Below are 15,274 nucleotides of genomic sequence, written 5' to 3'. Positions count from 1 at the left end.
AATTTACTACTTACTAATGAAGCTACTATTTACTCTGAATACCAGTTTACTTTTACTATACAAGCAGTAATAAAATGCAAAAAATTTGACCTTGTGCTATATAAATGAGGGAAACTGGTTACCCTTAAGGCTCAAGGGATTTCTCCCTCTGGCATCCTTCCAGAATCTGGGACCTTTCAAAGGAAGCAAGCAAAGTAATTTCCTGTTGCTATTGCAACTGTTCCTGACTCCTAACATCATAGCGTCCAGGGTACATTTCAATGTGGAAGGAGAATAACGAAACTAGGTAAAGGATTTGCTCCTAGCTTCAGAAATGCATAATCATAGGTTTGCAAATTTTTACCTTGAGAAAAAATTTAAAGTGGATTCCATTAACTGGGATGTTGAGATTAAGGAAGGAAAAGAAATGACTCAGAAAAACCTTACATTTTCAATCACTGGTTAATATAGGGTACTATTGTGAAAAGAATAATTAATACTTAAAATCCACATTATGTTTTAAAGTTTACAATGTACTTGAGGATACAGTATTTAATCTTCACAACAATCTTAGTAAGCAGATAAGAGTATCTCCATTTTATAGGTGACAAACCAACACTAGGCCAGGTGCTGTGGCTCACGCCTATAAGCCCAGCACTTTGGGAGGCCAAGGTGGAAAGATCGCTTGAACGTAGGAGTTCAAGACCAACCTGGGCAACATAGTGGGACTCTGTCTCTACAAAAACACACACACACACACAAATTTAGCCAGGTGTGGCAGCTCATGCCTGTAGTCATAGCTATTCAGGAGACTGAGGGAGGAGGATCTCTTGGGCCCAGGAGGTAGAGGATGCAAGCACCACTGCACTCCTTCCTGGATGACAGAGTGAGATTCTATCTCAAAAAAAAAAGTAAAGAAAAAAAGAAACCAATACTCAGAAAGGTTTACTTGCTCAAAGTAACATAATTTATAATGGATGAAGCTGAACCCAAAAAATAAGCCTTTATATCATTCATTTATTCAGCTGTAGTTGTTTATATGCTTACTCCTCATTAGAAGTTGATTCACTGTAGAGACTTTGATGCATCGTTATAGTTCTACGCACAAAAAATAGGCAATAAATACTTGTTAGATGAATAAATGAATGATTATGCTAAAAAAGTAGAGCAATAAAAATAGGAGAATGGCAAAGAAATACTGCAAGGTGGTGCTTTAATAAAGATAAATTTGAAAATCAACTAACACAAAGTAATTTCATGATCTGAAAAAAGAAAAAATATTTTAAACATATACATATGCTTTGTTTTGTGTAAACATTTAAATATACACCTGTATTTAAATATCTATAAATTCCCTTAGTTAGTATCCTAGCTAGAACTTGACATTTCTAGTACTTGAAAATATTGTTTTTACAATAAGATATTTATTAAACTTTTTGGGGAAAAAAATTAAAATGCATATGGCAAATAGTTTACCACACCTTTCGTCTTGTGTGTGTATGTGTTTGCATCTCTTAACGGGAAAAAATATCAATATATTTTAGGAAATTAGTAGGATAAAAAAATTCTCTGCACTACAAATGTAACATTTTCAAAAGGCAATGTCCTTACAATTATCATAATCCTTTAGAAATTGTTTGCATTATGATTAAAAAGTACTTTGTTCCTATGTTCCCACAACTAGTTCGTATGGTAAAGAAATCAGTAAACTTACTTTTATGCGTAACATCTTTAACATTTGCTCCCCTTTCTGGGCTTGTGATTAAATGTAACATTTTGAAATCCCAAAGTTCTGAGAAAAGCATAAATCCTTGTCTCACAGCTGCTGTTTGACTGTGGAAACACATGCATTTTCTTTTCAAGCATCTACCATCAAAACTCCCAAAGGGCTTGGACTGGAGAACACCTGCATCTCTTCATTTAGTTCCAATAACAGAGCCTAAACTCCAAAATTACAAAAATAGACGCTCTGTTCAGCTGTAGTTACATTTTGCCCCTAATTCCCGTGAACAAAAATGCTAGGAGCATGAAATCATTCAGGCAAGCTCTGTCATCAAGAGGATAAGATTTTTTGCACCAAAAGCCCAGTGGGAACGTGATAGAAAACTGGCAACAATTACAGATAAAATACATAGTAACGTCCTCAGGGAGGAAAGAGGAAATGTAATAAGATAGATGGGTATAATTTTTACACATTTATGCCCAAACCACAAATGTGAATTGTCTTTAATTGCTACAATATATAAGCATTCTTACTCATATGTTCTGTCAAAAATACTAAACATATAACTTCAAGGCAATTCACTTATTTCTACATTAGGAGCAGAATTTTTTGAAACCAAAAAAGACATTCCCTACAAATTAAAACTTACAATATAAAATACTGTCTCCATTTTTAAAACTCCTAAACAATATATTCTAACCAACCAACTCCAAATGGTGAACCAAAAGAGTGTGTCTGTTTGCTGGTATGTTTTAATCAAGACAAAGAACTACCTCCCAATGTAACAGTTAATTTACAGAGATTAGAGTTGTAATTGTGGCTTTCCTTTCCAATAACAATGACCAAAAGTTTCCCATGTGCGATGGGTAAAATTTTAAATTATTTTTAATTTATCACAATTTGGTAAAGTTAAAAAATTTATACTACTTAATTCTGAAACAAATTATACAAGATAATAAAGACTGGTTTACATTGGCATTACATTTAAAGATACGTTAAGAGGAACACTTATTTTAAATTATTTTAAAATAACATCATAATCACATAAATCTATTTTTCTTACCTTAGTAAAAAACGTTATTTTTAGTTCCATTATATTAAAAGCAAAAATAGCATGTGCATCTGAATTGCACAAGTGACTACAGCTAAGCAGATACTTTAAAAGGTATCATCTTCATTAATGGTGGACCAAAATCAATTAGGTGAAATTTCATAGAAATAAGTATAAAGCTTTCCAAGTAGGTTCATAAACTAATGTAGACATATAAAATATGTAAAAATGTCTTAAGAGTAGTTCGTGTGAAAAAGATCCACGGTTTCCAAGTAGCATACAAGCTCAAGACAAATAGCAACTGAATAGAAGTTCCCTATACAAATCTGAGAAGTATATATATTGTACTTTGTGGTATGTGGAAGACTGTGTTAAATTTTGGAGTTAACATTTTAAAGAAGATATTTTCAAACATGTAGTGGAAGTAGTCAGTTTGACAATCTGAAGACAAATCATATAGAAAATTACTGAAATAAATTTATGATGTTTTGCCTAGGATATTTAATTGGTGGGGTGGTGGAGGCTTTTGTAAAACATCAACCATGTGCAGGGAAGAAAGAAGGCAGAATCAAGGTAGTGCTGAAATTGACAGTATTAAGAGGGAAATAGTGCCATTATTAACTGAAAGAGTGAATAATGAAGTATGAAATAGGGAATAAAAAATTATACTGAGTTTAGTTTTGAATGTGTTAGGCACCACTAAAATATCCAAAGAAAATATTTAAGAAGCAGCTGAAATTTGCAGTCCAGATCTCAAAAGAAAAAAAAATGGACAGAAAGATATAAACTTATGGTTGGTTGCTGAAAACAGATGTATTGATTAGATCATTCAGATACAAAGACAGGGTCAATAACATAATCTTGGTAACAACCTACATTTAAGGAACAGAAGAAAGAAACATCTTCGAGGAGGGGAACAAAGCAAGGAAAACCAAGAAACGACATTGTTCTGGTGTCAAGAATTGTCAGGGACCTAAGATCATACGCTACCACAGTTTCATGAAGGCTGCAGAAGACAAGGATCCCAAGTCACAGATAAGGACTTTATTACTTATCGCACAGGGAGCAACACCAGTATCAACATATTTGCATCAGTTCCCTTTGCCCACAAGTCTCACAGAGGTGATGATGTGCACGTTTGTTCAGATGGCTGCCTGTACATGCAGTGAATTACATAACAGGAGATGAACCCGAAGTTAAGGAACCAAATGTTTTATAACAGGAAGCATGCTTTCTCTTTGCTCCAGAATGAGACATGATACTTGTCTTCCAAGGCTGTTCACTATAAGAACATCTCTGAATAGACAGTCCAGAACAAAGGGCAGTCAGTGCCTCCATTCGCAAGAAGTGCAAAAACAAAAAAGACCTATCGATCAGCGGTCCCCAACCCCTGGGCCATGGACCTGTACTAGTCCGTGGCCTGTTAGGAACTGGGCCACACAGCAGGAGGTGAGGAGTGGGCAGGCAAGCAAGAATTACTGCCTGAGCTCTGCCTCCTGTCAGATCAGCAGCAGCATTAGATGCTCATAGGAGCACAAAGCCTGTTGTGAAATGTGCACGCGAGGGATCTAGCTTGCACATTCCTTATGACAATCTAATGCCTGATGATCTGAGTTGGAAGAGTATTATCTGGAAACCATCCCCCACCACCCAAGTCTATTGAAAAATTGTCTTCCATGAAGCAGGTCCCTGGCGCCAAAACAGTTGAGGACCACTGCTATAGAGACTTGTCTCTGAACATCTAGAAGCCAAAAGAGACTAAGGATTGAATAGAAAGGGTATGATCAACCATAGCAGTAAATGCTGGAGACTAAAGAGGATGAATACCAAATGAAAGGAAGGGTGAAAAAAAGCTAAGAAAGGTAAGATAATATGTGTTGTCAGGTATATTTCAGGCTGATATATTATTTCATGTCATTTATAAGAATAAAATCAGACCAGGAAATGGGAGGTATAGTCCAGTGAATAAATAATCTAATAGTAATTAGAACTGTCTTACAGAGAAAGATATTGGTAGATATTTTCTCTAGTGGTAGATATATGCAGAAGGAAAAGGAAGAGGAGGAAGAAACAGAAATAGAGAAAAGAAAAGGCGGCTAACATGTATCAAGAACTGATTATTTATCTGTCAAATTTATACCCTTGAACATCTGTCATAAATGTTCATTCATTTATTCATTCATTCAACAAACGATTTCTCATGCATTCTTTGTGCATTCATCAATGATAGGCCCTGGAGATAAAATGGTAAGCAGCCAGTGATTAATTCTGCCCTCATGGAACTTACTGTCAAGTGGTAAGGACATATATAAATATATACCGTCTTAACAGCTATGAAAGAATGTAAGAGAGGTACTTAATTAAATTGAGTGGCTTGGGAGGGAGTAGGGAAAAGGCAGAGTCACAGAAGGCTTCCTTGGAGAAACAGTAGTTGAGCTGAGATCTTGAGACTGAGCTGGAAATAAACAGGTATAAAAAGGGTAAGGATGGTTGTGAGAATCCTAGACAGAAAAAAACAGTATATGTAAATACATAACCACCACAGAGAACATCAAAAAAGGCCAGCAGAGCCAGAGCAAAGAGAGAGCAGGAGACATGTAAATAGAACTCTTAACACTGGCTCAGAAATTGAAATGATGGGCCTGGTGCGATGGCTTACGCCTGTAATCCCAGGACTTTGGCAGGCAGAGGCAGGTGGATCACGAGGTCAGGAGATCGAGACCTTCCTGGCTAACACAGTGAAACCCTGTCTCTACTAAAAATACAAAAAATTAGCCGGGCATGGTAACAGGTGCCTGTAGTCCCAGCTACTTGGGAGGCTGAGGCAGGAGAATGGCATGAACCTGGGAGGCGGAGGTTGCAGTGAGCCAAGATCGCGCCACTGCACTCCAGCCTGGGCGACAGTACGAGACTCCATATCAAAAGAAAAAACAGAAATTGAAATGATGGCCTAAATTCTTTTGATTCTAAGCTGATAGAATTCATGGTCATTTTATATTCCTAAATAGCAGACACTCCAAAATTTATTTACACATTAATACCATGATTAACAAAGACTCAGAACTCTTTAGCAAGCAGAACCTGCTATGAATCATAGGCAAAATATAGCATAAGAAGAGCCAAAGTCTATATTAAAAAGACAAGGGAGTCTGGGCACAGTGGCTCATGCCTGTAATCTCAAGCACTTTGGGAGGCCAAGGCGGGTGGATTACGTGAGGCCAGGAGTTCAAGAGCAGCCTGACCAGCATGGTGAAACCCCATCTTTACTAAAAATACAAAAATTAGCCAGGTGTGGTGGTGCGCCTCTGTAAGGCATGAGAATCATTTGAACCCAGGAAGCGGAGGTTGCAGTGAGCTGAGATCGCGCCCACTGCACTCCAGCCTGGGCAACGTTCTGTCTAAAAAATAATAATAATAAAAAATAAGGGAAGAAAATATTTAGAACCTCATTTTTATTTTTATTTATTTTTGAGACAGGGTTGCGTTCTGTCACCCAGGCTACAGTGCAGTACGTGATCTTGGCTCACCGCAACCTCTGCCTCCCAGGCTCAAGTGATGCTTCCACCTCAGCCCTCCCAAAGTGCTGGGATTACAGGGATGAGCCACTGCACCTGCAGAACCTATTTTTAAATGTTTTAATTATGTCAGTTATAGTCACCAAGTGCTTCTACCTACAAAGGAACCAGAGAAGCATCTATTTCTCTATGTGACCTGTTGTATCTACACAAACCTAAGAAATGTGTCATTAAATGGTTCCCCTGAAAAATAACCATAAATACAGAATGTGTGCTGGCATACTGTATTCTAATAAGAGCCTTCAGCTCCTTTGCTGTTAATCAGAGTTAGTCAAGTGCAGAATGCAATCAAGGAAGGAAGTGGGAAAAGTGTAAAGGGAATTGCTGAGACTTCAAAGACAAAGAAATGCTGTAAGATCATGACAGTGTGGCTCTTTTGACAGTGCTTAATATAAAGTAAAAAAGGAGATCCGTTACGTTAGGAACTTTTAAGACTGAAGGATACAGTGTTTAGTGAGGTGGATTCTAAGGTTAAAAGAGAAAATGATAAACAGCCCAACACCCAACATGGTGGGAAAATGTTGTATAGTTAGAAGTTCCAAGTTCTAGTTCAAAGACTGACTTGCTAGGCAATTGGACAAGTCATTGAACTTCTAGGCATCTATTTCCTCCTCTGCAAGACACAAATAATATTTTCTCTGCCTAAAACAGTTTTGATTTGTAAGCAAATAAAACAATTTACACAAATGTGACATTTTAATTGTAAAGTACTGTTTTTATAATGAGTTTTACTAATACCATTAATATTTCTCTCTGTCATAATTCCAAATCCCCATTAATAAAGCTGTCCATTCCCTCACATTCTCAAATCACAGTCAAAAGGCTGCCTAAGTAATAAGCTCCTCTCAAAACTCACTTCCTAATTGACTTTTACGTAACATCTGCAACATTTGCTGGTCCCATTTAACCACCCATCCCCCTCAATTTGAGAGTATATGCACAAGGGCAGCTGTCTTCCACACATCATGCCATGACCCAAAAAAAGCCAGTTAGTATGATCATCATTCAAATTCTATAAGACCATGGGAAAAGTTCATTAACAACCTCACCGGGACATCTATCTGTTTCTGAAAACACAAGCAGAGACCACTCATGATTCCCTTTAACTGTTCACCTAAAAGATTTAACCACCTAACATCTTTTTCTTCCCTTAAGCCTCCAGAAAGATTCCTGTCTCTATTCCATTAGATACTTCAACTTCAAAAAGCAAAGAAAAGTAAATGTAATCATCAGTTACTTGCTTATTCATTCAATAAGTATTTATTGTTAGCTTATGTGCCAGGTATTGGTCTAGATGCTGGGAACACAGTAGTGACCAAAAAGAGACAAAACGTCCTGCCCAAATGAAGCATAAAATTCTAATAGCAGGGGAAACAATCAACAATATAAATCAGTAACATATATAGTATGGTAGATTCTGATAAGTACTAAGGAAAACTAAAGGAGTGTAGAAAAATAAGTAAGAAGTGTCAATATGTGTGTAGGAGACAGAGAGAGAAATTTAGATACAGTGGTCAGGAAAGTAGTTGCTGAAAGTATAATATTTTTGTAAAGTCTTGAAGGACTGTTAAGGAATTTTGATTTTTTCATTTAAGATTTACTTATGACTTGTCTATAACATCAATCATACTCACATATATACATATACACCCAAATTAAATCTTGTTACAAGAACATAAGATTAATTCAAATTATTTTAAAACTGGCATAAAAATAGTACTTATGAGCTCTCTAAACCATATCATAAATACCTAAGCCATGAATGTGGGTGGCAGTTGTAAGGTGGATGAAAAATTTAAATTTAAAAATACCATAAATAAACTATGTGAATGTAGTTTTAAGTTAAAATATATTACATTTTAGGTTCAAAACATACCCAAAGGAATATTTTCAAAGCATTAAATACATGATCACATTAAAATTTTACACACAAATCCATAAACATACTACTATCCATAACACTAATGTTGCAGATTAGGTGAATTTCCTTAACAGCAAGAAAAAATTAAAACTTTATAAATATTATAGGTGTCACAGATAATTTTTCTTATACCACTTTACTTTTAGAGCTATATAAAAAGTTAAAAACAAAAATAAAATTTTGTGACCCTAGAAATGCATTTAAATTATAAAAGGTAATATATTGTTGAAGAACAGATTATTTAAATACACTCAACTTATTAATTTATTTTCATTGTATATGTGGTAAAACAAATATTAAGAGTTCCTGTCCAACTCAAGAACAAGTGGCAAGATTCTAGAAAGATTAATCTCTTCTTAGGTATCAAAATTGTAACTGAATGGTCTGGTCATTTTAGTATCATCTTAAGTTTATTATTTGAAAACAAAAATTACTATATGGGTAATTCTATAAAGAAGTTTACTAAACAATATATTTAAGGAACATGATTAAATAGGCATTAACAAAGTCATGATATTTATCCACCAATTCCTTCTTCTTATAACCATGTTAGACAAACCACATAGGCCAAATCTGGCCCACTTCCTGCTTTTATAAATAAAGCTTTATTGAAACACAGTCACGTCCATTCATTTAAGTTTTGTCTGTAGCTATTTTTGTGCTAAAACAGCAGAAACAGTTGAGACAGAGACTGTATGGGCCATAAACCCTAAAATATTAGCTGTCAGGCCCTTTAAGAAAGTATTTACCAATCCCTGTCTTAAAAGATTGGTAAAATCTTTTCTCTATAGGGACAACCCTACTTTGGATCTGGAGCCATCCTCTGATCATTCATTCTTTATGGTTCTGTACCCATTCTTACCAGGCTGAAATCTTATTTTTGAGGTGTGCTGTCCTTTGAAGCATGCTGACAGACAGCATCCTTAGACTCACCTTTCAAATACTAATTTCCAGTTTTCAATGTGGATACCACTCAACTGCAAATATTATCATAATATACTCATCTTTCAAATGTTTTGTGTCCCTGTATATATTCATTTGTGCACTGCTTTATTCAATATTTACCTCTACATAGTCTCTGCTCAGTTAGTTGCAAATCTTTTCATAGTTTCCACTTGAACATACTAGTGCTGAACATACTTTCTATAAGCTACAGTACTTGTTGAATAATGTTAATGAAGCTCTACTCTAAAGCAGCTATTTGAAACTACTCACTGGCCAGTTACTTCTAGAGAGAAAATGTGGACCACGTATCTTTTAAAACAAATGTCTATATTACTATCACGTTGCTAGCTTCATTGACTGAACACCCTGACTTTGCTAACCACATACTGGCTAAGTGAATTCATGGCTGATAGTGATCTCTACCTATCATACATTTTTCTTTTCTCAGTCTTCATTGATCCTTCTGATACCTTCTCTCAACATGAGAGGTATAGCTCTGCTATTACAGTGTTGAATAAAATGAAATCGATTCTATTCAAAGTGCTACCAGAAAAAAATAAAACTCTAAGAAATGAGATAATGACCTCTGAGATTTTCTTCTCAGTTCTACCATCAAATCTTTTCATTCCTAAAAAATTACAGAAGGTAAAAACACCAATTTACACATGACAAACTTGGGTTACAAAGTGCTACTATCTCAAGAAAATATGCATTATAATGATATGCTATATTTTAAAACTCAGTTGTTCCTTATATATACGAATCTGAAGTTAACCACTATACACACAGCTAAATTCTCTCATATAAATAAAATCATTATTTATAAACACATTTCAATTAACAAAAGTGATACAAAAATTCTTCATTTGAATTTTGAAAAAGCACAACTGCAGAGTAAGCCAATTGACAAAAATACCTAAAAAAAAAAAAATATATACCAATTTTAAAAGCCTTTCTGGAAAAAAAAAAAAAAAAAAGCAAAACAAGGGAATAATGATAGGTTTGTACTTACCGGAATTGTGGCAGTAGTCAATATATTGTGGAACTTGGATTGTGAAGGCCATCAAATCTGGAGCTAAGAGAGACTCTGGCTTTCTACTCTCATTGAGCCACTTGGTGCTATGAAGGTCTTTAGTGTCAGAAGGACCCTGAAGCAAGGGAATCAACTTCTCTTTTCCACTATCAACTGAAAAGAAATATTTATAAAACAATAATAAAAATAAAACATGAGTCACTTGAGAATGTTTGATTTTAAAATATACTAACACCATAATATAACATTTCAACTTTATTTGATAATATTAGCTATACATTTAATTATACTGAGTCTCATAAAATGTAAAGCATTTTTAACTCTTAAGTTTTCATATTTGCTAATGAATGCAGAACATGTCCAGAAAAGCTTATAAAAGGAAACAACTAAACACACTGTCTTCTAAAAATTAAATGAAATCTGGACTTTTATAAACTTACCTTAAATTTAGTTTGCACTGAAAAAAATCACAAATGGTTTTTAAAATATATTATGAAATAAAATATTGGTAGGAAGGTAAAGTCATTTACAACCAAAATTTAAAAACAACTGGGTCTCCTATTTAATTATATTACAATAACAACTTTTTAATTTAATTTTAAGTGTCATATTATATACATATATATACACCTCCTATTCCCCCAAAAAGTATAATAAACATTCCTTTAATTTTTCTCCCTCATAACCATTCATAAAACTAAGTATTTTTCCCTAAATAAAAATTTGTTAAAGTCAAGAAGTACCATCCTGGCACAATTAGAAAAATTTCTAAGTAAAAATTTAAAACGTCTGATTCATAGCAACAGTGAGTAAATTCTTGTTTCAGTAACGCTCCTTGTAAAACGCAAGGCCAATTCTCCTATACAGGCAATAAAGTTTTACACGGTCCAGCTGCACATACCTGGGGCTTTGGCACAAATTTTTATTGATCCCATGGTCCCAGAGGCACATTTGACCAATGATGTGCTGCAGTACTTCAATTCAACATTCTGGATTGAGCCCTCAAGAGTTGGCAGGGGATTCTTAGATTTCACACCTAATAAAAGAAAACTGCAAATGTACTAGCCGATTGAATTTAAATAATTTTTATATTCCTTCACCAAGGCATTTAAACTTAATTATACTCTAACTGTCTACCTCAGATGTTCTTACAGTATTTGTGTTAGGTTTCATAGTTTAGTATTTCAGAGGTGAAAGGATGCAAATTTAAAATAAATGGGCTGAACTCTCATAACTATACTTATGCATTCAATTCTTGATTAGTCAAGCTCAAGAAATAAAAGTAAATGCACAAATACTTTTTAAAAAAAACAAGAAATAATTTTAAAAATCATATTTGGTTTTAGAAAACAATAAGATTTTTCTTTTTGAAACAAATTTAACTTATAAAGTCAAGTTTAATTTAGGCGAAGACTTTATTTTTTATTTTTTATTTTTTTTTGAGACAGAGTCTCACTCTGTCACCCAGGCTGGAGTGCAGTGGTGCAATCTCAGCTCACTGCAAGCTCTGCAAGCTCTGCCTCCCGGGTTCAAGCAATTCTCCTTCCTCAGACTCCCTAGTAGTTGGGATTACGGGCGCATTCCACCAGCCTGGCTAATTTTTGTATTTTTAGTAGAGACGCGGTTTCAGCATGTTGGCCAGGCTGGTCTTGAACTCCTGACCTCAGGTGATCCACCCAACTCAGCCTTCCAAAGTGCTAGGATTACAGGCGTGCACCACCAGGCCCGGCCTAGGTGGAGACATTTAAACATAAAACTACCCAAGCAAGGCTGGGCGCGGTGACTCACGCCTGTAATCCCAGCACTTTGGCAGGCCTAGGCAAGCGGATCACGAGGTCAAGAGATCGAGACCATCCTGGTCAACATGGTGAAACCCCATCTCTACTAAAAAAAAAAAAAGTACAAAAATTAGCTGGGCGTGGTGGCATGCGCCTGTGGTCCGAGCTGCTCGGGAGGCTGAGGCAGGAGAATCACCTGAACCCGGGAGGCAGAGGTTGCAGTGAGCAGAGGTCGCACCACTGCACTCCAGCCTAGCGACAGAGAGAGACTCCATCTCAAAAAAAAAAAAAAAAAACTACCTGAGTAAACAAATTCTCTGAAATATTTTGGTCAGGTGAAATGAGGAAACAGAAACAAAATACAGGTTGAGGATCCCTTATCCAAAATACTTGGGAGCAGAAGTGTCCTGAATTTTGGATTTTGCTGAATTTTGGAATATTTGTATTATATACTTAACAGTAGAGCATCCCCATTCTGAAAATCAAAAATCAAAAGTGCTCCAATGAACATTTCCTTTGAGAGTCAATATTGGCTCTCAAAAAGTTTCAGATTTTAGAACATTTCAGATTTTGAATTTTCAGAGTAGGGGGTCACTCAACCTGTAGCTCAAATAATTCCTGTGTTAAAATACAATAGCTTATAAATAAAATTCACATGCTCTGTATAGATAAAAAGGAAGCAAATAAATTTTTATAAATTAACCAAAAAGTAGATATTAACATCTTTATTATGTACTACTTGCTAAAGGATATAAAAGCACAGAAGGTAATAATTCCCATAAATAAATGGTTGGAAAACTTAATCAAAAGGGAGAACCTCATTTTGATCCTTAAGGGTAGGTGAGAATTATACAGGCAAAGAAACCTTAAGAATATTATACTGACAGTATGGACAACCACCACTAAAATGGTGATGATAGTGATGATGATGATGATAATGACAATTAACTCTAATCAATTAACATTTACTGAGGACTTAAGTATGTGTTATGTACATTATCTCATTCAGTCCTTACAACAGGCCTATATTATAGATATTATTATTATCTTCACTTTACAGATTGAGGATGCAATAGATTAGGGAAGGTAACTAATTTTTGCCCAGAGGACAACAGTTGCTATGTGAAAGATCTAGGGTGTTTAACACAATCTGATTCCATCACAGAAGACTTTATCACTCATTTTGCCAATTATTCATGAAAACCCACCAACGTAATTTTGCTTCTTTTTCCCTTTCCACACTTTGGTTAAATAATTCCATCCTTTATTTTTGAAGCTTCTTTAACTATGTATGAATAATTAAGAAGATCATACACTTTCTATGATAGTTGTATTAAACATTATTCTAAAATCCTTGACTTTAAACTCTAGGGTATTCAAGAAGACTCATAATCTCTCAAAGAAATTATGATTCAGTCATCCTGAGCTATGGCCCAGAATTCTGCATTTAACAAGCACATTAAATGATTTGCAAATGGTTAGAGAATGTTATCCTGAGAAATACCTTGTCCCAAATCAACCCTTATGATATTGTTTAGCTTTGTGTCCCCACCCAAACCCCATGTTGAATTATAATCCCAAGGTTTTAAGGGAAGAACCAGGTGGGAAGTAACTGGATTATGGGAGCAGTTTCCCTCATGCTGTTCTCATGATAGTGAGGGAGTTCTCACAAGATCTAACGGTTTTTAAAGCATGGCACTTCCTCATTCGTTGGCAATTCTCTCTCCTGCCACCATGTGAAGAAGGTACTTGCTTCCCCTTCGCATTCTGCCATAATTGTAAGTTTCCTGAGCCCTCCCTAGCCATGTGGAACTGTGAGTCAATCAAGTGTCTTTCCTTTTTAAATTACCCAGTCTCAGGCAGTTCTTTACAGCAGTATGCGAACGGACTAATACTCGGAGCTATCAATTTGCTAATTTGTATTTTGTCTTTATATAATTGTGTACTAATTGGTTGCTATTTTCCAATATTTGCCACCTGAATTGTGTCCATTTGAAGTGGTATCCATTATCCTCTGAGAAGGAGTTCTAAACCTATGGTCTAGAGCACACTTTAAAGAGTTCATTACACCTATGAAATGGTATCTAAAATGCTGTATATTTATGCATTTTAAAGCATTTTTAACAGATTCTCAAAATTCATGTCTCAGGAAATTTTAATATCTCAGAAAATTAAATGATGCCAAAAATGCTAATACAATCATCATCGTAGTAGTAGTAGTAGTAGTAGTAGTAGTAGTAGTAGTAGTAGTAGTAGTAGTTAGTGGTAGCAGCAGCAGCAGCAATAAAAGCAGCAGCAGTAGTATCAATAATAGTAATCATAGCACTTAACATGCACTGAGCACTTACTGAGTGCCATGCATGATGCCTAGTTTATTTCATTTATTCGGCAAACACAAAATAATCCTTAGGAGCTATTACTATTTTCATTCTATATATATATTTAAAAAAGGATTGGAGAAATAAGGATTTTGCAAAGGCCCAAGTCAGAAAGTGGCAAAGCCTGGATCTCATTTTTCTTTATAACAAAGGATGCTGAGCTACTCTATTTAACATCTACTGTGGTTGCAGGGAGCTATAATCAATAGATAACTTACCCTGTTCCAATCACTATGTTAGATGATGAGAGAGAAACAGAACTTAATAATAGCCTTCCCTCCCCTGGCTCTCAAGCCTTAAGGGTCAAACTCTCATTCAATACCAATTTTTTCAAAAGAAATACAGGAAACCTATATAGTAGTCAGCAAACAAGAGCTACTAAAAGATTCTCTAAAGAGTCGTTGATGGTGTTCAGAACCAAAAATCTGAATTAGTTTCCGGTATATACAAGAGCAAAAGAATATGGATAGACCAAATGAGTTTCTTTAGAATTATTTTATAACACGGCTTCTTTTACAGTTTCCAAAACTTAATACTCTACCTTGAATCATAAATAATAAGTATTTCTTAATATCTCATACATGTTATATATAAGACTCTTATCATAAGTTATCTGAAACATCTTCTGATAACAATCTTGGCCAGGCGCGGTGGCTCACGCCTGTAATCCCAACACTTTGGGAGGCCAAGGCAGGAGGATCACTTGAGGTCAGGAGTTTAAGACCAGCCTGGCCAATGTGGAGAAACCACATCTATACTAAAAGTATAAAAATTAGCCAAGCATGGTGGCAAGCACCTGTAATTCCAGCTAATCAGGAGGCTGAGGCACAAAAATTGCCTGAGCCTGGGAGGCAGAGGTTGCAGTGAGCCGAGATCACACCACTGCACTCC

At 35.4% G+C, this 15,274-nt stretch overlaps 1 protein-coding gene across 2 annotated transcripts in view; it reads right to left on the bottom strand.

Moving 5' to 3' along the window:
• The window catches only part of VPS13B (vacuolar protein sorting 13 homolog B), an 864,307-nt gene that overhangs the window by 592,120 nt on the left and 256,913 nt on the right, over positions 1-15,274 (bottom strand). For both annotated transcript variants that reach the window (NM_152564.5, NM_017890.5), the window contains exons 18-19: positions 11,129-11,263; positions 10,207-10,380 (exon numbers count right to left, since the gene is read on the bottom strand). In NM_152564.5, coding sequence (NP_689777.3) covers positions 10,207-10,380; positions 11,129-11,263 — 309 coding nt within the window. The remainder of the gene's footprint in view (positions 1-10,206; positions 10,381-11,128; positions 11,264-15,274) is intronic.

The sequence above is a fragment of the Homo sapiens genome, chromosome 8 (genome assembly GCF_000001405.40).
Source record: "Homo sapiens chromosome 8, GRCh38.p14 Primary Assembly".
Lineage (NCBI taxonomy): Eukaryota > Metazoa > Chordata > Mammalia > Primates > Hominidae > Homo > Homo sapiens.
The sequence above is the reverse complement of the archived record's forward strand: the minus strand, read 5'-3'. Positions and strand labels throughout refer to the sequence as shown.